The sequence below is a fragment of the Homo sapiens genome, chromosome 7 (assembly GCF_000001405.40).
Source record: "Homo sapiens chromosome 7, GRCh38.p14 Primary Assembly".
NCBI classification, from domain to species: Eukaryota; Metazoa; Chordata; class Mammalia; order Primates; family Hominidae; genus Homo; species Homo sapiens.
The window spans coordinates 47,757,664-47,781,790 of NC_000007.14; the positions used below are offsets into that span (position 1 = coordinate 47,757,664).

General features: G+C 41.8%; 1 protein-coding gene and 1 long non-coding RNA gene across 3 annotated transcripts in view, besides 1 other annotated feature; one reads left to right on the forward strand and one right to left on the reverse strand.

Annotated features, from left to right (window-relative positions):
* The first annotated feature begins 3,812 nt into the window (after window positions 1-3,812).
* On the forward strand, window positions 3,813-9,109 carry LINC00525 (long intergenic non-protein coding RNA 525). The gene is made up of 3 exons (NR_038407.1): window positions 3,813-3,850; window positions 5,710-5,915; window positions 8,166-9,109. It is a non-coding gene; the product is annotated as a long intergenic non-protein coding RNA 525 (long non-coding RNA).
* Window positions 13,708-14,002: a silencer, noted in NCBI's record as "tiled region #6862; K562 Repressive non-DNase unmatched - State 23:Low". NCBI's record gives its function as "represses a minimal TATA promoter and a strong SV40 promoter by Sharpr-MPRA in K562 cells {active_cell/tissue: K562}" and the evidence as "EXISTENCE:reporter gene assay evidence [ECO:0000049][PMID:27701403]".
* The window catches only part of PKD1L1 (polycystin 1 like 1, transient receptor potential channel interacting), a 186,293-nt gene continuing 179,116 nt past the window's right edge, over window positions 16,951-24,127 (reverse strand). For both annotated transcript variants that reach the window (XM_017011798.3, NM_138295.5), the window contains one exon: window positions 16,951-17,503. In XM_017011798.3, the coding sequence (XP_016867287.1) occupies window positions 17,480-17,503 (24 nt within the window). In that variant the 3' untranslated portion in view covers window positions 16,951-17,479. The remainder of the gene's footprint in view (window positions 17,504-24,127) is intronic.

The following is a 24,127-nucleotide window of genomic DNA, read 5'->3' on the forward strand; positions in this document are numbered from 1 at the left end:
GGGGTTGCTTCACTGATTGGATGTCAGGGGAGAAAGTGGCCAAGGACGGGAAGTCCAGGATGAACTGGGCCTCTGGCTTGAGATGTTGGATGGATGCTTGGGCCAGTCACTGTCATAGGAAACTCAAGAGTTAGGGGCACACTTTGGGGGAAGTTACTTAGTCTTTTGATACCTTAGTTTCCTCTGCTGTAAAATGAAGAAAACATCATATACTTGGCAGTTGAAATAAACATTGGAAAATTTTATAAAACATCTGAAAGTGCCCAGGAATGGAGACTGTCATCAGAAATGCTTTTTCCACTAAGTGTCTCATGGCACTCCTGTTTGCAGGCGCGGCGGCTCCTCCCCACAGTCAGGCACGCTCGCCCACACTGCATCAGAACATCTTGTTCCTGCAGGATGGCCCAGCCCTTCGCTGGCTGCCCTGCCGGCCACGGGACCGAATCACCATCACTCTCACCCACAAAGCTGCTTTTGGAATGCAGGCATTTCATGGTGTGGGAAGACAGTATTTTTACACTTTTCTCAGAAATTGGTCAAATTCTTTTTGCTCCCTGCTATTTTTCCCCTTCTCCCTCTCCCCTTTCCCTTTTCTTCATTCCAGCAATAGCTAGATCTCTACTGCACCCGAGAAAGGACATGACAGTGGCAAAGCAAAACAGTAAACAATCAACAACAAAACTCCTGAGCCCAGCTGGCTTTGATTTCCCAAAGCAAATCAGTCAAGTAATTAAGAAGGCATGAGAAAAACAGAAACACACACACACAATCTTTACTACCTGTGGGGAGGATTGTGAGGGAAAAAGAAAAATATATTCCTCTGTACCCCATGGGTTATGGAAGGAAGTGACAGATGTGAGGAGTGTGTGAGAGACAGAGACAGAGAGACAGAGACAGAGATAGAGAGACAGAGAGACAAAGACAGGAGGGACAGAGACAGACAGAGGAAGACAGACACAGAAATAGAAAGAGAGACAGAACAGAGAGAGACAGGCATAGACAGAAGTGTCTCCTGAGGTTGGGCCTCTGAGTCCTGCTCTCTGGGGAGTACTCTAGAAAAATGGCAAGATCTCAGGGACCTTGGTGTGTAGATGACTGATCGCCAAAGCAGGAGCTCTGGTCTTAGGCCAGATACACTGAAGCAGCCAAAGAGTCAAGTTTCCCTCTGGGCCGTGCCCTGGGGGTGCAGGGGTATATGAAAAGCTGCAGCTGGGTGCAGTGTTCCTCTAGGGCTCAGGAGAAGTGACAGACAGAGAGCCCAGGAAGCACCCACAGCCTGGGCCTGGCGCGTCCATTGGTGTGACCAAGACCTACATACAGAAAGGTGAAGGTGCACAATGAACTCAGACTTTATCTGAATAGGGGTAAGATCCATTTCAAAATTGGAAGTGGGGCTGATTTGAAAGAATCTATTTTATGAGGATAAACTGATGATGAGATAAATTCTATAGATAGGGTTTTCCTTGACTTCTAAGAGAATAGATACACAGAAGGTAATTATTGAGTTAGAGTTGTCTTTTGTTTCTAAGAAAATGATAAGACAATTTATATTTTTCACAGCCTTGCTTTCTTGCTCCACCAGGGGTCACAGCTGATCTTACACATTTCGGGGTGTGGGCACAACTTCACCACTCTTCCAGGGACCAATGTAAAGCCACCCTGGCACCACCCTTTGCTTACTGAAGATTCCCCCACCAAATCCACGTGCTACCTGTGCCTCATCCATCACTGGTTAATTACTCTGATTAAAATAAAGCAGTGATTTGATGTTTCCAAGGAGCTTCATTAGAATGAGAAAAAATTATATTTACCAAGGAAAGGAGGAAATGGTTGAATAAAAAATATGACAAGTAATTTAATTTTAGGTCAATGAATGCTCCACTGTGATTCAATTCTGACACATGAAACAAATAATGAGATGATCAAGCCCTCTTCTTCCTTGCAGAAACTCGCTAATCCATATGAATGGTCTGTTGTTCACGAGCATCTGGTTCCCTTAACAACCTGTGGCCTGTTTACTCCATGGGGAGAATCTGGTCCTCAGAGCAGCTTTAGGGTCCATGCACCTTACTGGACATCCATAATGCACCACAGAGTGTGGTGCAGCAATATGCCATGTGAGGATTTTTTAATCCTTGAAAAGTTGGGTGAAGAGGATAAGATTTTTCGTATAAGATAATACAGGCTTCAAAAAGTTGGAAAAAGAGCACATTTAGAAAGTCCCAGAGCTGGGATTTGAACCCCTGTGCTTCTGATTCTAAATTGCTTCCCACCACGCTCATGGTGACCTCTAGAAGGTGTTAGTGAGGTGGAGATGTACCCGGTAATCCTGCCAGTGCATCTGTGCACTGATTCTCTATTGCTGGCTGTCCTTCTTGGCATCTTATTCAACAATAGCTACTGTAAGGGGGGAAATAGTCTTATATTTTGTGAAAGAACTCAAATGGCCAATTCATATATGGCCAGTTTACTTAAGAATGAATTACCGACCGGGCACAGTGGCTCATGCCTGTAATCCCAGCACTTTGGGAGGCTGAAGCGGGTGGATCCCCTGAGGTCAGGAGTTTGAGACCAGCCTGGCCAACATGGCAAAACCTCATCTCTACTAAAAATACAAAAATTAGCCGGGTGTGGTGGCTGGCACCTAAAATCCCAGCTACTTGGGAGGCTGAGGCAGAAGAATTGCTTGAACCCAGGGGGCGGAGGTTGCAGTGAGCCCAGATTGTGCCACTGCACTCCAGGCTGGGCAACGGAGCAAAAACAAAAAACAAAAAAGAATGAATTACCAGGCTCTAAAAACCTATCAGTAAGCTTTTTTTTTTTTTTTTTAAAGACGGAACTTGATGCTAAGGAAATTGCAACAACACAATGTCCTAATACACTGTTGACAAGATTAAAAAATTTTTTATTTTTAATTTTTGTGGGTACACAGTAGGGGTATATATTTATGGGGTACGTGGGATGTTTTAATACAGGCATGCAATGTGAAATAGGCACATCATGAAGAATGGGGTATCCATACCCTCAAGCATTTATTCTTTGTGGTATAAACAATCCAATTATACTTTTAATTATTTTAAAATGTACACTTAAATTATTATTGACTATAGTCTCCCTGTCGTGCTATCAAATAGTAGGTATTATTCATTCTTCTATTTTTTTTTTTGGTACCCATGAACCATTCCCACCTTATCTCCCCAGTCCTCTACTATCCTTTTCAGCCTCTGGTAATCATCCTTCCTATTCTCTATGTCCATGATTTCAATGGTTTCGATTTTTAGATCCCACAAATAAGTGAGAACATGTGATGTTTGTCTTTCTGTGCCTGGCTTATTTCACTTAACATAATGTCCTCCAGTTTCGTTCCATCCATGTTGTTGCAAATGACAGGATCTCATTCTTTTTATGGCTGAATAGTACTCCATTGTGTATATGTACCACATTTTCTTTATCTGTTCATCTGTTGATGGACTGTAAATTTGCTTCTAAGTCTTAGCTATTGTGAACAGTGCTGCAACAAACATGGGAGTGCAGATATCTCTTCAATATACTGATTTCCTTCCTTTTGGGTATAGACCCAGCACTGGGATTGCTGGATCATATGCTAGTTCTATTTTTAGTTTTTTGAGGAACCTCCCAACTGTTCTCCATAGTGGTTGTACTAATTTACATTCCCACTAACAATATACTAGTGTTCCCTTTTCTCCACATCCTCACCAGCATTTGTTATTGCCTGTCTTTTGGATAAAAGCCATTTTAACTGGGGTGAGATATCTCATTGTAGTTTTGATTTGCATTTCTCTGATGATCAGTGACGATGACCACCTTTTCATATGCCTGTTTGCCATTTGTAAGTCTTCTTTTGAGAAATATCTATTCATTTCTGATTTTTTATTTGGATTACTAGATTTTGATTTCTGATTGGATTACTAGATGTTTTCCTGTTGAGTTGTTTGAGCTCCTTATATATTCTGGTTATTAATTCCTTGTCAGATGGGTAGTTTGCAAATATTTTCTCCCATTCTGTGGGTTGTTTCTTCACTTTAAGAAGATCATTAATTGCCTTAATCATTCTAAAAAGTGATTTGGCAAATAAGGGTTGAATTGTGTCCCCCAAAATGTCTATGTCCAAGTCCTAACCCCTAGTACCTCAGAATGCAACTGCATTTGGAAACAGGGTTTTTGAAAATGTGATCAAATTAAAATGAGGTTATACTAGAGTAGAGTGGGCATGTAATCCAATATGACTCATCCAATATGACCGGTGTCCTTATAAAGAAGAGGAGATTTGGCTGGGCATGGTGGCTCATGCCTGTAATCCCAGCACTTTGGGAGGCCGAGGTGGGTGGATCACCTGAGGTCAGGAGTTCAAGACCAGTCTGGCCAACATGGAGAAACCCTATCTCTACTAAAAATACAAGAAAAAAAAATAGCTGGGCATGGTGGCAGGCACCTGTAATCCCAGCTACTTGGGAGGCTAAGGCAGCAGAATCGCTTGAACCCGGGAGGCAGAGGTTGCAGTGAGCCGAGATTGCGCCATTGCACTCCAGGCTGGGCAACAAGAGTGAAACTCCATCTCAAAAAAAAAATTAATAAATACATAAAAAATAATAAAAAGGGGAAATTTGGACCCAGACATGCCTGGAGGGAAGATGATGGGAAGAGACACAGAGAGAAGATGGTTGTCCTCAAGCCAAGGAGAGAGGCCTGCAACAGATTCTCCTTCAGCCTTTAGAAGGAACAACACTGCCAACACCTTGATCTTAGACTTCTGTCCTCCAGAAATTGTGAGACAATGCATTTTTGTTGTTTAAGGCAACCAATTTGTGGAACTTTGTTCTGGCAGCCCTAGCAAATGAATACAACAAAATATATACTGTATTGAGAACCTTAATATTGGCAATACCATTTGCACAGGAACTCCTTGCCTTTGGTTGCCACCTAAGAAATCATGCATATGGACATGGAATTACACATAAAGTATATTTAGCTAGTTTTTCTTCAACATGCTATTGCAGGAGGACAATTCAAAAATCTTTCCAACTCCCACCTGATTTCTGAAGGTTCTCTGGGAGCCTGCGCATCAGCCATCAAAACACACTTGTCACATTTTTCTTTCCTTTTGGCCTCCTTTAGTGAAGTCAGCTGCCTGAGGCTGGGCGGAGGTGCTCAGCACTCCCTCTGGTTTGTGGGGGGCTGGGGTGGGTCACACTTATTCTACTGGATATCACTGTTCCTGGGCCCTGCCACCACTCTCAGCCCTGGTGCTGTGGATTCTGTTCATGAGAGGGGCTGAAGTCAAGCCTCCCTCTCAGGCCCAGATCTGAGTCTACAGGTCAGCCGGGGCTGGGGCCTCACGGTAGCAGGTGGTGACAGAGGACATGTCATTGTCGCAGTCACTGAGGACACTGGTTCTCATAGCCCAGCCTCTGTGCCTGGACCTCAGCTATAGGCCTGGCCCCATTGTGCTCTCCCTGATGAGAATCTCCAGGCCTTGAGCTACCTGACTCTTCCCAGTTGGCCAGACACATCCCAGTGAATGATCATCATCCTGCTCTCATCTCATAGCCAGCTGATCAGTCTGTTCACCCTCCACCTACTCAAGTACAGAGTGACACACCCCAAGCAACAATCGCATGAGAAATTCTACCACCTGGGGAGGGCAGAACTGGGACAGACTTCTTTCATTTTCTGATCTGCTTTTGCCAGATGTCCTCTGTAGCAAGAGGCAGGACAAACAGTGAGGACTGCACCAACACTCACCGGGTGACCCCTTTGCTTTGGAAACTTACTCAGGGTGAAAGGAATTCCGATTTTAAACAGCATCTCTTTGTGTGGCCTGTTTGAGGCACCACACAGAGCTTGCTGGAGCAGCTCTGTTGACCGCTGACCCTTGGCCTGCTAACTGAAACAAGGTGAGTATTTCTAAGGCTGTCGTGGCCACGGGAGGACCGGAGAATAAATGTGGACCTATTTACATTCTCTTTTCCCTGAAGGTGATAAATGGCTTCCCCCATCCAAACCAGGCCCCTCTAGGGCCTTTATTTGCTATTCTGGTTTTAAAAGGCAGACGGAGAATGTATTGAGTTATCTTTCAACTGTTTACTAGCAGAAGGGCAAAGATCAGATTACCAGCTCAGAGTGATTCATCTTTTCTCCCAAATCAAAGCCATATGTACACAGAGTCTGTGTACACATTAGTTCATTTCATTCATTCATCTAGGTCAGGAGAGGGAGACCTGGGACAAAGGTCCCGCAGAAAGAGATGGAGGCATCAGGCCACAGACAGTGAGCAGCATGGGTTTTTCTCTGCCTCCACATTAGGACTTTAATGTTTTTTTTTTTTGTTTAAAAAAAACAAAACTGCCTGATTTCCTGTCAGGCCAACTAATGATGTTTTTTCCCCAGGTTTCTGGTATAGAGGATGTTTTAATTTGAGAGAAGTTTCCACCTACAAAAACACATATTTGTCCGGGCATGGTGGCTCACGCCTGTAATCCCAGCACTTTGGGAGGCTGAGGCAGGAGGATCATGAGGTCAAGAGATCTAGACCATCCTGGCCAACATGGCGAAACCCCGTCTCTACTAAAAATAAAAAAATTAGCTGGGCATGGTGGCGCATGACTGTAGTCCCAGCTACTTGGGAGGCTGAGGCAGGAGAATCTCTTGAACCCCGAGTTCAGAGTCAGTCAGTTGAGATCGCGCCACTGCATTTTAGCCTGGTGACAGAGCGAGACTCCGTCTCAAAAAAACAAAAACAAAAAACCACATTTATACCTTTGGAAACATTAAGCCTCCAACTGTGAGAACGAAGATTCATATTTAAAGGGAAATGTGAGGTAATTCTGTGAATCTTAGACAGATTGATGGTACAAAATGGGAAGCGCCACCATCACTGATATTCTGAAATTATGGTTGACTGCAAATATCCAGAAAAGCATAAAAACAACATAATGAACGCCTATATTCTCACACACAAAACTGTAACATTTTGGCAGATTTTCATCAGCTCTTTTTCCTTAAGAAACAACACACACAAGGATCATGGAAGCCTCTCCATGCTTCCCACCCTGTCCTTAAACTGATGTTTTTCATCCCCAGAATGACGCTACATTAATGCTACAGATGAATGGCTCCATAAACTATATATAGCAAAGTATTGAACTTTTGTTGATTACATCAGTCTCTAACAAGCTTTTTTCACTGAACATTATGTTTTTGCAATTTGATAATGCCAACAGATGTAGCTACATCCATTTAACTAGTGTATTGCATTTTATTGTTACCAAACCGAACTTGGGTCCACCCATCCTGGCACAGCAAAGCCAAACACTGACAGTGGGATTTGCAGTGAAAAAAGTGAGGCATTTATAACAGGGCACCAAGCAAGGAGAACCGGATAGCTCTCGCCTAGGACCTAAACTCCCGAATGGCTTGAGTGTAAGGGTTTTTAAAGGTGGGAAGGCAGAAGTTACATGCAAAGTCATAAATCAATACATGGAGGTCTTACATTGGTTTGGCCAAAAAAGGTGGGATATCTTGAAGTGTGGGGCGAGGCACAGGTCATGGGTAGATTCAAAGATTTTCTGATTTGCGAATTGGTTAAGGGAGTGAAACTTTGTCTAAAGCCTAGGGGTCCACAGAAAGGAATGCTGAGCTCCGACCTGTAGGCATGACTTCCTCCAGGCCACTCAGGAAGAAATTCAGAACAAAAAATGGCAGTCAGAGTTCAGTCCCCAGTTCCTCTGTTATCTAAGGTCTATGTGCCAGCAGATGTCATTTTCCATTTGGTGGGAGTCCAGGTTTTTTGAAAACAACTCAGGGATATATATTAAGATGTTGTCTTTAGTTTCTATGGGGAACCAAACATTTGGTGGCTCTAACTTCCTCGGCTATTGTCTTCAGCTATTGTTACCTCCTTGCTTATCAGGTTGCTCACTTACTCCTCAGGGCTAGCTAGGTGCCCGGAATTTCCCTCAAAGGAACTCAAGATTTTTCTTTATTTCCATGCTTGGTTGGGAAGAGTGGCAGGCCCCTCAAAGGGATCCCTGCTCTGTCTCCATTTCACATGAATCATACAATTTAATCATGATGATGATAATGGATATTTGGGTGGCTTCTGTCAAGAACTGTGAAGAGGCTGACATTTCACTCACTACTTACAGATTCACAAGTGAGGCTGCTGCCCCAGTTTCATGGATGCTGGCAGAAGACTTAAGATTTCTGAATCAGAGACAGAAGACTTCATTTATTTGTCACAGCTAAAGCAATGGCCAGTGTCAGTGTATTTGCACTGGTGCCTCAAGCCCTGATGCCCACGGGGTGATGCAGAGACCCTATGACTCCCGCACATGCATTGGGTCAAGTCACAGTAGAGGACCACTGAGCTGGGCACCATGTGGACCTATAGCAGGCAGCAGGCAAGCCCTCTCCTTTGAGGTTCCTCCCTGCAACTACGACCCCGAAAAATGGATCCAGTAAAGAAGAGTCAAGGCTTTATAGTCTTGGTGCACCCAGTAAGACCTGTAGGAGAACAGGAAGCCTGTGGAGGACTGTTTCTTCCAAAAGTTTCCAAGTGTTAGCTCTTACACATGTATAAACAACACTGCAATTTGTCTCCTTGCACCGTACATCCACGAAGCAGATTTGCTTCTTGCCAAATTATTTCCCTCAGTGATTTCAGGAACTGACAATTCCCAGTCGCATATAGGAATTTTCTTGCGTCTTCTTTTCCTGACTAACTCTTGCGTTGTCAGACACTTTCATTTGTGCTAAGCTGATAAGTATCAAACGATGATGCAGGCTATTCATTATGTGTGTCCTTGATTACTGATGAGTTTGAGCAATTGTCATTTGTTGGACTGATCGTTCAATTTCCTCTTCGGTCCTTGGCCTTTTCATATATTTTGCCTTTTCTTGTAGGTGTGTCCTTTTCAAATTGATTTTTTTGGTGTTTTTGGTATATCCTGTGTACTAATTCTTTGTCATTTATATGCATTAATAATATCTCCTTTCACTGTGTGGCTTGTCTTCTCAATTTGTTTTTGGGTTTTTGTTTCAGAGAACATTTTATAAGCTTTAAATAATAAAGTTTATTTATTTTTAATTATTTTGATTTTGCTTTTGCATCTTGTTTAAGAAACCCTGTCCTACTTATAAATAAGGCCATAATTATTATTCTTTATTTATTTATTTATTTATTTATTTATTTATTTATTTATTTATTTTGAGACAGAGTCTCGCTCTGTTGCCCAGGCTGGAGTGCAGTGGCGTGATCTCGGCTCACTGCAGCCTCTGCCTCCCAGGTTGAAGTGACTCTCCTGCCTCAGCCTCCTGAGTAGCTGGGACCACAGGCACACGACACCCTACCTGGCTAATTTTGTATTTTTAGTAGAGATGGGGTTTCACCATGTTGGCCAGGGTGGTCTCAATCTCCTGACCTCATGATCTACCTGCCTCAGCCTCCCAAAGTGCCTTATTTTTCTTTTTAAAATATAAAACTTACGCCAGGTGCGGTGGCTCACTCCTGTAATCCCAGCACTGTGGGAGGCCGAAGCAGGTGGATCACCTGAGGTCAGGAGTTTGAGGCCAGCCTGACCAATATGGTGAAACCCCGTCTCTACTAAAAATACAAAATTAGTGGGCATGGTGGCGGGCATCTGTAATCCCAACTACTCCGGAGGCTGAGGCAGAATTGCTCGAACCCAGGAAGTGCTGGTTGCAGTGAGCCAAGATAGTGCCACTGCACTCCAGTCTAGGCAACAAGAGTAAAACTCCGTCTCAAAAAAAAAAAAAAAAAAAAAAAAAGAAAAGAAAGACAAAAAAGAAAAAGAAAAAAATATGAAAGTTTTGCATTTTTCATTTAGGTCATCAATACATGGGGAACTTAACCTCTTATGCAGGGTGAGGTATGAATCTAATTTATTTTTACATGTGGACAACCAGTTGTCTCATCAACTTTCGGTGGATGCTCCTTCCTTCCCTGCGGACATGTAAAATATTCATTCCGTCGTATCATATATCACCTTGCCAGTTGCTCAGGCTGAAAACCTTGGGGCTATCCAGACTCTCTTGTGCCTGACATCCAGTCCATTAGCAAATCCTGACAGCTCTACCTTAAAACAGACTTTCTGAAGCCAGCCCATTCATCATCCCCTCCAACACTGCCACTCAGGGCCAAACCACTGCCACCTTTTGCCTGGACTACTCTATGGCCTCCTAATTAGTTTACCCCTTCATCTCTTGCTCCCCTACAGTTTTTTGTCTACACAGCAACAGAGTTATGTCTTTTTTCTTTTCTCTTTTTTTTGAGAAGGAGTTTCACTTTTGTTGTCCACGCTGGTGTGCAATGGCACAATCTCATCTTACTGCAACCTCCACCTCCTGGGTTCAAGTGATTCTCCTGCCTCAGCCTCCCGAGTAGCTGGGATTACAGGCATGCACTACCACGACCGGCTAATTTTTGTAGTTTTAGTAAAGACAGGATTTCTTCATCTTGGTCAGGCTGGTTTCGAACTTCTGACCTCAGGTGATCCACCCGCCTAGGCCTCCCAAAGTACTGGGATTACAAGCGTGAGCCACCTCGCCAGGCCAAGTTATGTCTTTAAAAATACATTTGATCGTGCTCTTCCCTGCTCACATTCAGAATAACATTTGCAGTCTTACTGTGTCTATAAGACCTCCTATATCCTGGTTGCTGGTTGCAGTTTGCACCTCATTTTCTACTGCGCTTTCTCTCTCTCTTGCTGTGTTCCAGAAACACTTGTGATTCCTCGCACAATGACTGTGTTCCCAGTTCAGGCCTTTGCATTTGCTGTTTCTTCTTCCTGCTATTTCTCTTCCCCCAGAGAGCTGTACAGCTTGCTTGAACCTCATTCAAGGTTTCTGTTCAAACATCACATTATCAAGAGGGGCCTTCCCTTTAAAGAAGAACAGAGCCCTATTTAAAATAGAGCCCTCCCTAATTCACTTAATTTTTCTTCATAACATTCACCACTGTCCACGATTGTAGCGTGTTCTTTTTATTACTTGACCCATGTGCTAGAATGTAAGCACCCTGAGGGTAGGCATTTTGTTGGTTTTGTTGTTTGATCTATTCTCAAAGCCAAGAATAGAGCCTGGGACACAGTAGAGTTTTAAAACATGACAAATAAATGGATGAATGAATGAATGAATGAATGAAAAAGCAAAATTTTCCATTGGGAAGGATAAAATCTTTTTTGGTAATAGTTGCACTGAGTTGAGATCTAAGTCTTTCCATTTTGCTATCATTATAAAAATTATCTTAGCTATTCTTGGCCCTTTCTTTTCCCATTTGAATTTTATGATCAATGTACCAAGTTTCACATAGACCTGCATTGGAATTTTGATTGGAAATGCATTGAATTTATACATTCATTTGACATGAACACCATCCATAAATATGGGACGTCTTTCTATTCAGGTTTAAAGTTTTTCAGTAAACATTGGGTTTTTTTTTTAAATGAAAGATATGTACATGTTTTCCTAGATTTACTAGGTACACTCATAATTTTCTTTTTGTTGTTGTTCCCCCACAGTGAATAAGATCTTTTCCTTTTGCATTTTCTAATTGTTGGTGTATAGGAATAGTACTCATTTTTTATGTCGATCTTCTAAGATGCTTTCTTAGTTGACTGTCTTGATTTGGGGAGGAAGGTAGGCAAGTATGTCGTCTGCAACTGAGGACTGTTTGTTTGGTTTCTTCGTCTTCTCTTCTTATCCTTTCTGCACCTTATTCCATTGGCTTTATCTTACTGGTTGATTGCATTTTTTTTTATTACATTGGTTTTCAACCTACAGGATACATGCGGAAATAGCAGACATCCATGTCCTGTCCTCTGTTTTCCTAGGAATGCTTCCAAGATTGTACCATTCAGTATGATGTCTGCTAATGATTTTGGAGGATAGCCACCTTGGTTTCCTTGCACAGGTTTTATTATGAAATAATGTTGAATTTTATGAAGTACTTATTTATTTATTTATTGAGATGGAGTCTCGCTCTGTCTCCCAGGCTGGAGTGCAGTGGTGCAATCTTGGCTCACTGCAACCTCCACCTCCTGGGTTCAAGCAATCCTCCTGCCTCAGCCTCCCAAGTAGCTGAGACTACAGTTGTGGGCCACCAAGCCCAGCTAATATTTGTATTTTTAGTAGAGATGGAGTTTCACCATGTTGGCCAAACTGGTCTCAAACTCCAGACCTCAGGTGATCCACCCGCCTCAGCCTCCCAAAGTGCTGGAACTACAGGCGTAACCCATTGCGCCCGGCCAAGTACTTTTCTTCCTTTAATCTTTAATGTGGTGGATTACATTAACATATTTTCTGACGTTAAGCCATATTTCCATCTTCAGGATAAAACCCCACTTGTCATCACATGTTAGTTTTATACACTGCTGAATTTGATTTGTATTTTAAGATATTTGAGATTATGTTTATTAGTAAGAGGGGTCTATCATTTTCATTTTTGTATGATGTTCTTAAGTTTTTAAAAAAACCAGATTATACTAGTTTCATAGAACAAGTTGCTAAAGTTTACCTCTTTTTTTAATTCTCTGGGAGAATTTGTACGAGATAAAGAGATCTGTTTTTTGAATGTCTGGTAAAATTTGCTTGTAAAAATGCTCTAGGAATTTTGAGTACCATTAGATTTCTAATTCTATATATTTAATGTCTATGGTTTACATTTCCTATTTTCCTTCTCAAATTGTTTATATTTTCTAGAAAATGTCATTTAGGTTTTCAAATGTATTGAAATAAAGTTGTTCATAGGATTATCTTACTAATTTTTTAATCTTTATGATGTCTGAATTTGCTGTTTTATGCTTTTTTTGTTATTTTTCTCATTATTTCTAAATCAACTCTGCTAGAAATCTATCTGCTTTAGCATTCTTTCAAAAAATCATCTTTTGACTTTGTTGAGTTTCTCTACTGTTTCATTGTTTTTCATTTTTGTGCTTATATGTTTAAGTTTTATATTTCTATGGCGTTTTGTTGTTTGAGATCGAGTCTCGCTCTGTTGCCCAGGCTAGAGTGCAGTGGCGTGATCTCGGCTCATTGCAGCCTTCACTGCCCAGGTTCAAGTGATTCTCCTGCCTCAGCCTCCTGAGTAGCTGGGACTACAGGCATGCACCACTACACCAGTTAATTTTTGTATTTTTAGTAGAGACAGGGTTTCACCATGTTGGCCAGGCTGGTCTCGAACCCCTGACCTCAGGTGATCCACCCACCTCAGCCTCCCAAAGTGCTGGGATTACAAGCCTGAGCGCCATGCTGGCCATATTTCTATGTTCTTTATGTTTGTTTGATTTATCTTCCTCTAAGTTCTTGAGTTGCATTTTAAGTTATTTATTTTTAAACTTTCCTGGTTTTAAATAAACATATTTAAAATATAATTTTCCTTCTAAATACTGATTGAGATGCATCATATACTTTAGTTTGCATTGTGATTTTTCTCTGTAATTCATGAGTTTTTTCAGAGTTATTTTAAATTTTCAGTGACATGACTGTTTTCAAATTATCTTTTTACCTTTTGTATATCTAATTGGTCACATTGTGGTAAGAGAATGACTTCCAGATAACATCAGTTTCCTGAAATTTTGTTCAGAGTTCTTTCTACAAGGTGTCATGTGAGAAACTCCTTTTCAAAATTAATGCTGGACTGTGAGCTCCGAAATCCACATTTGTTCATTCACTGCAGTGTTCCAAGCAGCCTGGGCGGCGCCTAGGGGTGCATGCCCAATGGTGTGATGGCAGCCAGTGTGTGTTTTCCACTAGAGAGCTCTCTAACAGCAAGGGCTGTGTCTGCCGCAGTCTTTTCTTCATCTTGGCCATCAGCAGCTTAACTTCAGTGATTAATTTTCCTCCTGGGGTCATTTGTTTTTCTTTCCATGACTTTTTATTAACTACTGTGTAGTCTGGACATCCTTCTTTATACACTGTCTTGATTTAGGTTTTCAATGGAGAGAGGCCAGGTAGAAAGGGAAATAGAAAAACAGAACTCACTCCTATTCACAATGAAAGTATTTTTATAAAAACAAAAATAAAGCCTTAAGCAATTTTTCCACTTGTCTCATATGTGACTATACAACCAGATTCCTAGAAAATGTCCCTGCTTTTCTCATTCTTCTCCCTGTGGTGTGGAAACAGGATCCCAGGTCTAAAGGATGAAAACTCTCAGGGCGCAGGTTAAAACTGGATGAAGGGAGCCCAGTGGCATCAGCTGGCTGTGCCCTGGTGGGTCACACAGCTAAGGTCAGCAAGAATAGAATTTAATTACATATTTTACACAATGGGATGGAATGAAAGACTGTTTTGAGGAAATAATAGTTTATCAAAGAAGTGGAGAAATGCCCATGGGAGAAGCACGTTCAGAGCAGGCACGGAATGGATAGATTTCAGAAGGAATTTAGCTGTCACTGGTTCGAGGCCAGGCCACTCCCCTCTAAGCAGGCTCTTATAGCAAGGAGCTGCTAGGACCTGGATGTGTGGTGAAAAAACAAAGTGGTTGTCGGTGCAGAATTTCACAGTTAACAAATCACTTTAATACAAACAATCTCATGAACTCCTCTCACGCCTATGGGAAAATGTTAATTGTGTTTATTTTGTGAAGTTGCATATTAGCTTAGTTTCTCTGAGCCCAATGTGAGCCCCAAACTGTATAAAAACATGCATTCAGCCCCTCTACCACCTCTATGCAACTTTACTTGCTAAAAATGTGTGACATTCCGAAGTTCTAAAATGGCCAGGGTGACCAGTCATTCCCAAACATTGCTAGAAATCAACGTGACCAATGGGGGCAAATGCAGCAATTGATACAATAACATCCTCATTTCTCCAGATTTGGTGTGACAGTTCCTTTCACGCCTTCCCCCTTGGGTTGGTTCCCTAATAATGTTCCCCTACAGAACCTTCTCCCAGGTCCACTTGCCTCAGTAAGGACACACATGGACTGTGCGTTGGAGAGTTAGCCAGTGACTTACTCCCTGTGTGACCTTGGGCAAGGTGCTTAACCACCCTTGGACCTCAGTTTACTCATCTGTGAAATGGATGATAATAACAGAGTGGTGAAGAGTGAATGAGCTGAAGCAGTAGCCCTTAGAAGATGCACTGGCACATAACGGCATTTCCCTTTCCACAGCAGCCACTTGCCCTCTCTAGCCTCTGTTTCCTGTGAAGTGGGGTTAGTAAAAGCTGTGCCCCGAAGAGCTCTTGTAAAAGAGGGAGGCTTCTGTGGGAGGCAGGTCAATCGCTCCTCCCAGACCTCCACAGCCTGACCCTTGGTACTTACGTTTCCTACATAACAAAGGGGATAAGGCTGCAGATGGAATTAAGGCTGTTCGTCAGCCACCTTAAGATGAGAGATTATCCTAGATTATCCAGCAGGCCCAATGTAAACACAAGGGTCCTTATTAGTGGAGGCAGGAGGCAAGAGTTGGTGTCAGAGTGATGGGATGTGAGAAGGACTCAACCTACCACTGCTGGCCTTGAAGATGGAGGAAGGGGCCATGAGCCAAGAATTGCAGGTGGCCTCTGGAGGCCAGAAAATGCAAAGAAATGGACTCTGCCCTAGAGCTTTCAGAAGGAACATTGCCCTCATGGCAGCTTGATTTTTGTTCAGTGAGACTCCTTCAGACTTCTGGCCTCCAGAACTGTAAGATGACACATTAGTGTTTTAAACACTAAGTTTGTGGTAACTTGATACTGCAGTCTAGCAGGGTGCCTTGCTCAGGTAACCTCCTATATGTGATGCTGTCACCATGTTCATTACCATCACCATTGTGGGCCTAAGGTATGCAGAAGTGAAAGTTATCCCAAAGGTTTTCACAGTGGCTCATTCTGTAACGCAGCCTCATTTTAAGACTGTCTGATCTCCATGATACATCACCTCCTCATCCAGACCACCCAGAGCATGTGAGAAGAGCCACTCTTGAAGCTCCTCGGGCATGCTTAACCCTGCTAACCTGCGTTCTGTGTGCTATGGGAAAGGCAGCAGCCCGCCAGTGTCACCTCTGTTGGGATTCGTTCTACCTCCCTATACAGAACTCACTGCTGGACTTACTGCTTCCCCTCCTAAAACAGCTGCCTGTAAAAGGGGCATGGGTCTTGCTTTCTTTGTATTTTTCAAAGCTCTTGAACATGGTGAGTGCTCCATGAAAGTATTTGGAATGAAAAAATCCATGAAAAGAGTCTGTCAAAGCATAGCTGATGGAATGAAACAAGATACAACTGGATGAAGATGTATGTTGTGATGCCTTATTACTTCACTGGGGAAGGGAAGAGTCTTCTCCAAACCACCCAACCACCTGGCAGCCCTGGCTCATGCAGAGGTCTCCAGTCTGGATGCGCTCTCACTGTCCATCAATGTGGAAATGAGGCAAAGCCTGCCAATCATACAATCTACTCCCTGAGGAGACCTGTACATTCTCAAATACATAAACGCACACAGAGAATTCGTATTAGCTTCGGTCAAATCAATGACACAGAGATGCCATATGTCATCAGGCACTGTGCTACATGCTTTACACAAACTCTTTGAGGCAGGTTCCATTATACTCCCATTTTGCCCATGAGTTAATTGTGGATTAAGATGGCCATGCCCCTTGCTCAGTTTCTACATAACGAATGATTACACTAAAAATCTTTCCCAGGTCTGCTTGCCAGACCCCCTACCCCTGTCCTTTCCCAGTGTGCAGCCCCAGGCCTTCGGGGAGGCCACAGCACGGTGTGTTTCCATGACACTGGAGGCACCTCCATCCCATCCATCCACTTCTACCCACTGTCACTGATATGCATGCCAAACCAGGCATATTGAAACTATTTAGAATCCAAAAATATAGCATGCACTCCAAACTTAATAATCTCCTTAGCAAATTCTGATCTGAGCACGTAGGTTTTTAAATGGATTCCAAAACAGCCGCCCAGATAACTTCGAAGTTCAGTTTGAATAACCATTTTATATTGAATTAGTAAATCAGGAAAGATGCGTTATTAATCTAGCAAGATTCAATTGTTAAATTTACAAAATAAGGATTTTACTTCAAAAATCTTATTTAAATATTAGAATGTTATCCTGGTCTCTTTCATCGCTTTTATGAGACCTGAAAGAAATTTCACAAGATACAAGGCTTTTAATACTCAGACAGATTCAGTAAAACAAACAAATAAGACAATATGTAACTCTAGGGCAACTGGCAAATTAACCATTTGGGAGAAGGCTGGAGTTAGAATCTTGTCCCACATCTGAACTCTCCGAATGGTGATTATGAGTAACAGTCTGATGACAGATAAACCTTGATTTTCATCCTGGTTTCCCATTTACTTGTTACGTGAACTGGAAAAATTAACAAAACTTCTTCGTACCTCAGCTCTTCTCACCTGCAAAACTAGGATGTCTGCTAAAATTGGCTGTTGGGTGGGTTAAGCAAAACAGGGTCCATAGTGCCTATGCAAGGTACCAGGCTCCTCAGAAGTCCTTGATGTCTGCTGGCTAAAAAGAAAAAATGAAAAACATACTGAAACAACACCCCTCTCTCAGTGATTGACAGAACAAATAGGCAGAAAGGCAGCAAGTGCTGATCAGACCTGAACACCACCATCAGCTAACTTGACCAAGGTGACATTTACAGAACACTTTGCTCAACAACAGCAGAATACAAATATTTTAAAGTTCAAATGAAACATCTGCCAAGTTAGATCATATTTTGGGCCATTAAAACAAGCTTCAATAACATTCAAACGATTCAAGACACAGGATGTTCTCTGACCACAGCAGAATAAAATTAGAAATCAGCTACATAAGGACATCAGGAAAATCTCAAAATACATACAAACTAAATAATATACTTCCAAATCACCCATGAATCAAAGAATAAATCAAAAGGGAAATTAGAAAGTATTTTTATCTCAATAAAAATGAAAACATATCATTTTCATTCAGGGATGAATGCTAACGCAATACTCCGAGAGAAATCTGTAGCACTAAATGCCTATATTAAAAGAAGAAAGGTCTTAAATGACCTTAGCTCTTATGTGAAAGACTATAAAAAGAAAAACAACTTAAACTCAAAGTAAACAGAAAAAAGTAAATAATAAATAAATACTAAAGATCAAAGCAGAAACCAGTGCTGTAGATAACAGAAAAAAAAAAAAAATAGAGAAAACGAATGAAACCAAAAGCTAGTTCCTTGAGAAGATCAATTAAATTGACAAGCCTCTAGCCAGGATGATAACAACATATCAAAGACACAAATATGTTGTCTTTGAATAACAACAACAACAAAGACACAAATTGCCAATATCAGGAATGAGAGAGGTGACAACACTACACTTTTTACAGATAAAGGATAAAATGGAAATATTATGAACAACTTATTCCTATACATTTCACAGCTGAGATGAAATAGAAAAATTCCTTAATGATACACATTACCAAAGTTATCTCAAAAAGAAATAGATAAGCTGTATAGTCCTATACTTCTTTAAAAATTGAATTCATAGTTAAAAAGTTTCTAATAAAAAACTTCAATTCTAGATGGCATCTCTGGTGAATTCTATCAAACATTTAAGAAAGAAATAGTTCCAATTCTAGTCAAACCCATCCGGAAAACTGAAGCAGAGAGAATATTTCCAAATTTATTCTAGGAGGACAGCGTTATCCTGATACTAATATGAGATAAAGACATTACAAGAACAGTAACAAAAAAACAAAACCCAGGGTCCCCCATTGTCACTGGCTGCTTCTCCCTTGAGGAATTCTCCTCCAGGTCTCTCAGCTCCAGCTCTGATGCACCCTGATTTGCTCCAGCAGCTGACTCAGCATGGCCCCAAGCCTAGCGCATCTCCACACCTGTTTGCTCATTTGCTTTTACTGGATTGTGAGATGGCTGAGGAATTTTTTTCTTCATACCCCAGTGCTGAGAATGTAGTAGGTATTTGGTAAATATTATAGGATTCAGTTTTGAAGCTGGGAGGTAGGTTGAACATAAGTGTTACCAGAATCCAATTCAACCTGGAATGCTGTGATAAACATAGGAAGTCTAACAGGAATAATAATGAACTGTATTTATGACCACGCAATAAATAGCACCATTATGGAGAGAAAGGTACAGGAGCAAAGACATTGCTCCGCAATAAAATTTAAGGATGGGTAGGGAGGTGTTGAGACCTCCAAAGATCCTACTGGTTGACACTTAAATTCTTTTTTATTTTTATTTATTTATTTATTTTTTTTGAGAAGGAGTCTTGCTCTGTCACACAGGCTGGAGTGTAGTGGTGCAATCTTGGGTCACTGCAACATCCGCCTCCCAGGTTCAATCAATTCTCCCGCCTCAGCTTCCTGAGTAGCTGGGATTACAAGCATGCGCCACCACATTCAACTAATTTTTGTATTTTTAGTAGAGATGGGGTTTTGCCATGTTGGCCAGGCCGGCCTGGAAATCCCAGCCTCAAGTGATCCGTCCACTTCAGACTCCCAAAGTGCTGGGATTACAGGCGCGAGCCACCACACCCGGCTGACACTTAAATTCTGACTATCCCAAATGATTAGTCTAAATTAATCATGATAATTCCATTTCACCATGATCAATTTAGGAATGAGTTTGAGGGAAAATATTCTTGGGGACTTCCTGAAAAAGTTTCCTCATATCTAATGATAAGACCGAAGGAGATGGTCTCCTCCTTCCATGGACATTTCATCTTTGGATGTGATCCCTGGACCTGTAGCAGATATCCTGCAACCAAGCAGGGTGTCCTCCATCCTGAGGCAAAGCCAGCACACAGCAGAATGCAGAGATGGCATCTGCCCTACCTCTCAACTTCTGGTTTTGTAGATAACACATTTCCTTGCAGTTTCAGTCAATTAGGGTCATGTTTTACATCATTTACAGTCAAAACTATTGTCAAAGGTTATAAATAATAATATAATTGGGGGCTGCATTAGTGTAAGTATAGTTTCTAAGGCAAGTGTGAAGTGTGAGAAATTAGTTAGGTAAAAGCCATGCTGCTGCTATAACAAAGAGCCCCCAGATTCCTCAGAGCAAAACAGGATCCAGGTTTATTTTTCACATAAGCAGGGGGAAGTTGGCACAGTTCTCATCCTAGAAAGGCAGCTCTGTCATCTTCAGCACAAGGCTTCTAATCTTGCTCCAGGTATCACTCACACTTGGGAAAGAAAAAAGAGCATGAAAAGGCACATGCCTGATGCCTTCAGGAGCAAGTTCAGAAGCAGGACACATTGCTCTCTATAGGGGCTGTGAGGAGCTGCAGGGGAGGTGGCGTCAGTGCCTGGGCAGTAGCTGGGGCCTGGACAAAGCTTGGGCAGTGAGGGACAGACAGAGATGGATGCTGGTAGCCATCAACATTTAGCATAGCACAAATTTTTCCTAATCATGGTACTCCTGGACTATTGTTTATCATTAAGAGGAGACACAAGAAGTACAAACAAGGCCAGAGGAGAATCACAAGGAGCCAACCAGCAGATGAGGTGACTCAAAGCCACATCATGGGAGGACGGTGGTGGTGGGGGCTGATGGGGCTTAGGCTGGGGAAGGAAGACCACCAGGGCTGCCAAGGCAGGAGGAAGAACACAACACTTCCTCACATGTGTGAGAGATTATCGTGTGGAGAAGTGGTTAAATGATTAATTTTGACTCCGGGGCAAAGACCTTCCATTTGGTGGAGTTTACAGAGCAGGTTATGGCTCAACATCAGAAGGGAACAAAAGAACAAAAGAATAATAGCAGTTGAAGTCACTCATGATTAGAATAAAGAAACGCCAGTGAGTCACATGGAGGAGATAATACAGACCTGGTGGCTCATCAAGGAGGTATTATAGCCCTCAAACAGGTGAAGATGAAGAAAACATTTTCCCTTACAAACAATAATGCACCTGTATTTGATCTGCTGTAAAGGTCTTTGACCTATGATTTACCAACTTCCAGTGTGCTTAAGTCTAGTATAGAGATAAGGGCAATTGAAATGAGACTATGTATTACTGATATATAGGAGACTTATGATTTTAAAAGTCATCCTCATCTTTGTATGAGTTTCTTAGTCTCATAAGAATTTGAATTTCAGGACTGGCCTTTAGCACATGAATGTCTTCTCTGACCCAGCATGCTGAGGAACAGGCTTGGACACTGACTTCCCACTGACCTCAAAGGCAGTGCTGTTCTTGAACAGGACTTACTTCAAATGCAAGGCAGAACTTTTTATTCTGGAAAGAATTGTGCCCATAGAACAGACACTGGCGATCATATCGTTTTTAAAAAATGATATTCAGCTAACAGGTTGTTATATTAGTAACTAAACTAGAAGTTCTTGTCCTATGGAGAGAATCTCAAGTCTTTGAAAACATATTCTTTCCTACCCTTCACTCAAGTAATTTATCTGCTCTGAAAAATGCCAAAAACATACCACTGTGCCCTGCCCAGTGCCACAGACATTTCCACTTATTTTTTAGGCTAAGCAGCAAATGTGGATCCAAAAGTGGAAGAAATCAGACACTGCTGATGGCAGATGTCTTGCCAATAGGTCAGATGGCTGCATGTTTTTAATCAAGCAGGCCCCATCACCTGAGAGCAGAGATCAAATTATCAAGGTGGTGTGTGTGGACAGCTTTTTGCAGCCACTGGCAGACTCAGTTTCCTTTGTCAATTTCTGTCTGGGATACGATGCTGTTCAAAATGCTCGTGAGACTTTTGTGGTTAAATTATGCTGAAACATGGTGTGTTTTGAGGAGCAAGTTGTCAGCCAACTCAATGATACCACCAGTGGGAGTAGGCCATAACTCAGGCTCAGCTCCTGTATCTCTGTGTCTTGGTCAGATTCTCTAATTACTCTTCCACCCACACTTCTTGCTGATATTCTCTACGGAGATATTTGGTTACTGATACAAACATATTACTCTTGTCCCAAATAACTCAGATTTTTTTAGCGTCTGAGAATGGCTCCACCTTTACAGAGTCTAAAAGATGACACAGGCTCTTCCCTCCACCCCTATTTGGGTTTTGGTCCAGCAGAAAGTGCGAACATATGGTGCGGGGCCCACAGATGAGGCCAAAATCTCATTAGGTAGAAATCTGAGCAATTCGGGATGTCCAAATACTGCAGAAGCTCAGATGCCTTCATGCTTTGGAGCTTTCATCTATAAAAGACACTTGGGGAAAGGATAAACCATGGGCTGGGTGGGAGAAAGGAGGTGCCCAGAAAGAGCACTTGTTATGCACATTTGTGACTAGACTATTCTCTTGTTTGCTAGGAAAAATAATTAATATTTGCACTGGTTTTTAAGTTAATACCATTTTCAACTTATTGTAATTTTGTATGCTATAACAACCTCGTTATTTTTTAATTATTTTTTTTTTACTTTGAGATAACTGTAGATTCACACACAGTTGTAAGACATAATACAGAACACTCCTATGTACCTTTTACCAGGTTTTCCTCAATGGTCACATCTTGCAAAATTACAAAACAATATCCCAGCCAGGATATTGACATTGATACAATTAACGTAAAGAACATTCCATCACCAAGATCCCTTCTGCTGTCCTTTTATAGATGCACCTAAGCCTTCTTCCTTCCTTCCTCACCGTCTTTTCATCCCTGACTCCTGGCAACCACGAACTGCTTCCCTTGTCTATAATCTTGTCATTTTAAGAATGTTATATTGGCCTGGCGCTGTGGCTCATGCCTGTAATCCCAGCATTTTAGGAGGCTGAGGTGGGTGGATGACTTGAGGTCAGGAGTTTGAGACCAGCCTGGCCAACATGGTGAAAACCCGTCTCTACTAAAAATACAAAAATTAGCCAGGCGTGGTGGTGTGCACCTGTAGGCCCAGCTACTTGGGAGGCTGAAGCATGAGAATCACGTGAACCCGGGAGGTGGAGGTTGTAGTGAGCCGAGATTGTACCACTGCACTCCAGTCTCGGCGACAGAAGACTCCACCTCAAAAAAAAAAAGTTATATAAATAGAATCATATAGTATGTAACCTTTTGAGTTTGGCTTTTTGCACTCACTCAGCATAATTCTCTGGAGATTCACCCAGGTGGCTGTGTGGATCAATAGTCTTTTTGTCTTTATTGCTTAGTAGCATTCCATGATATGAAGGGACCACAGTTTGTTTAACCATTCACTCAGTGAAAGCTATTTCCAGTTCAGAGGTGTCACAAATAAAGCTGCTGTGAACATTCATGTGCAGGTTTTTATGTAAACCTAAGTCTTCACTTCTTTGGGATCTATGATCCAGATAATTTCTGGGCGATAAGTTTTCATGTTTCATTTTATAAGAAACTGCCAAACTATTTCCCATAGTTGCTGTACCATTTTACATTCCCATCAGTAATGTATGAGTGATGTGGTCTTTGCATTCTTCCCAGCATTTGGTGTTGTCACTATTTTTTATTTTAGTCTTTCTAAGGTATGTAGTGATATATCATTATGGTCTTAATTTCCAGTTCCCTAACGGCTAGTGATAGTCACATCTTTTCATGTGTTTGCCATCTGTACATCTTCTTCAGTGAAATGTCTGTTCATTATTTTGGTCCATTTTCTAATTAGATTATTTACATTTTTACTGTTGAATTCTGAGGCTTCTTTATATATTGTAGATACTAGTTCTTTGTTGAACATGCGGTCTGCAAATATTTCCCTCCAGTCTGTGGATTGTCCTTCCATCCTCTCAATAAAGTCATTTGCAGAACAAAAGGTTTTTTTTTTTGTTTTGTTTTGTTTTTTTTTTTTTTTTTGAGACAGAGTCTCACTCTGTTGCCCAGGCTGGAGTGCAGTGGCGTGATCTTGGCTCACTGCAAGCTCCGCCTCCTGGGTTCATGCCATTCTCCTGCCTCAGCCTCCCAAGTAGCTGGGACTACAGGAGCCTGCCACCATGCCCAGCTAATTTTTTTGTATTTTTAGTAGAGACGGGGTTTCACTGTGTTAGCCAGGATGGTCTCGATTTCCTGACGTAGTGATCCGCCCGCCTCAGCCTCCCAAAGTGCTGGGATTACAGGTGTGAGCCACCACACCAAGCCAGAACAAAAATTTTCAATTTTTAAAGTTCCAATTTCTGATTTTCTCCTGTTTTTTTCTCCTGCAAATTTGACAGTTTCATGT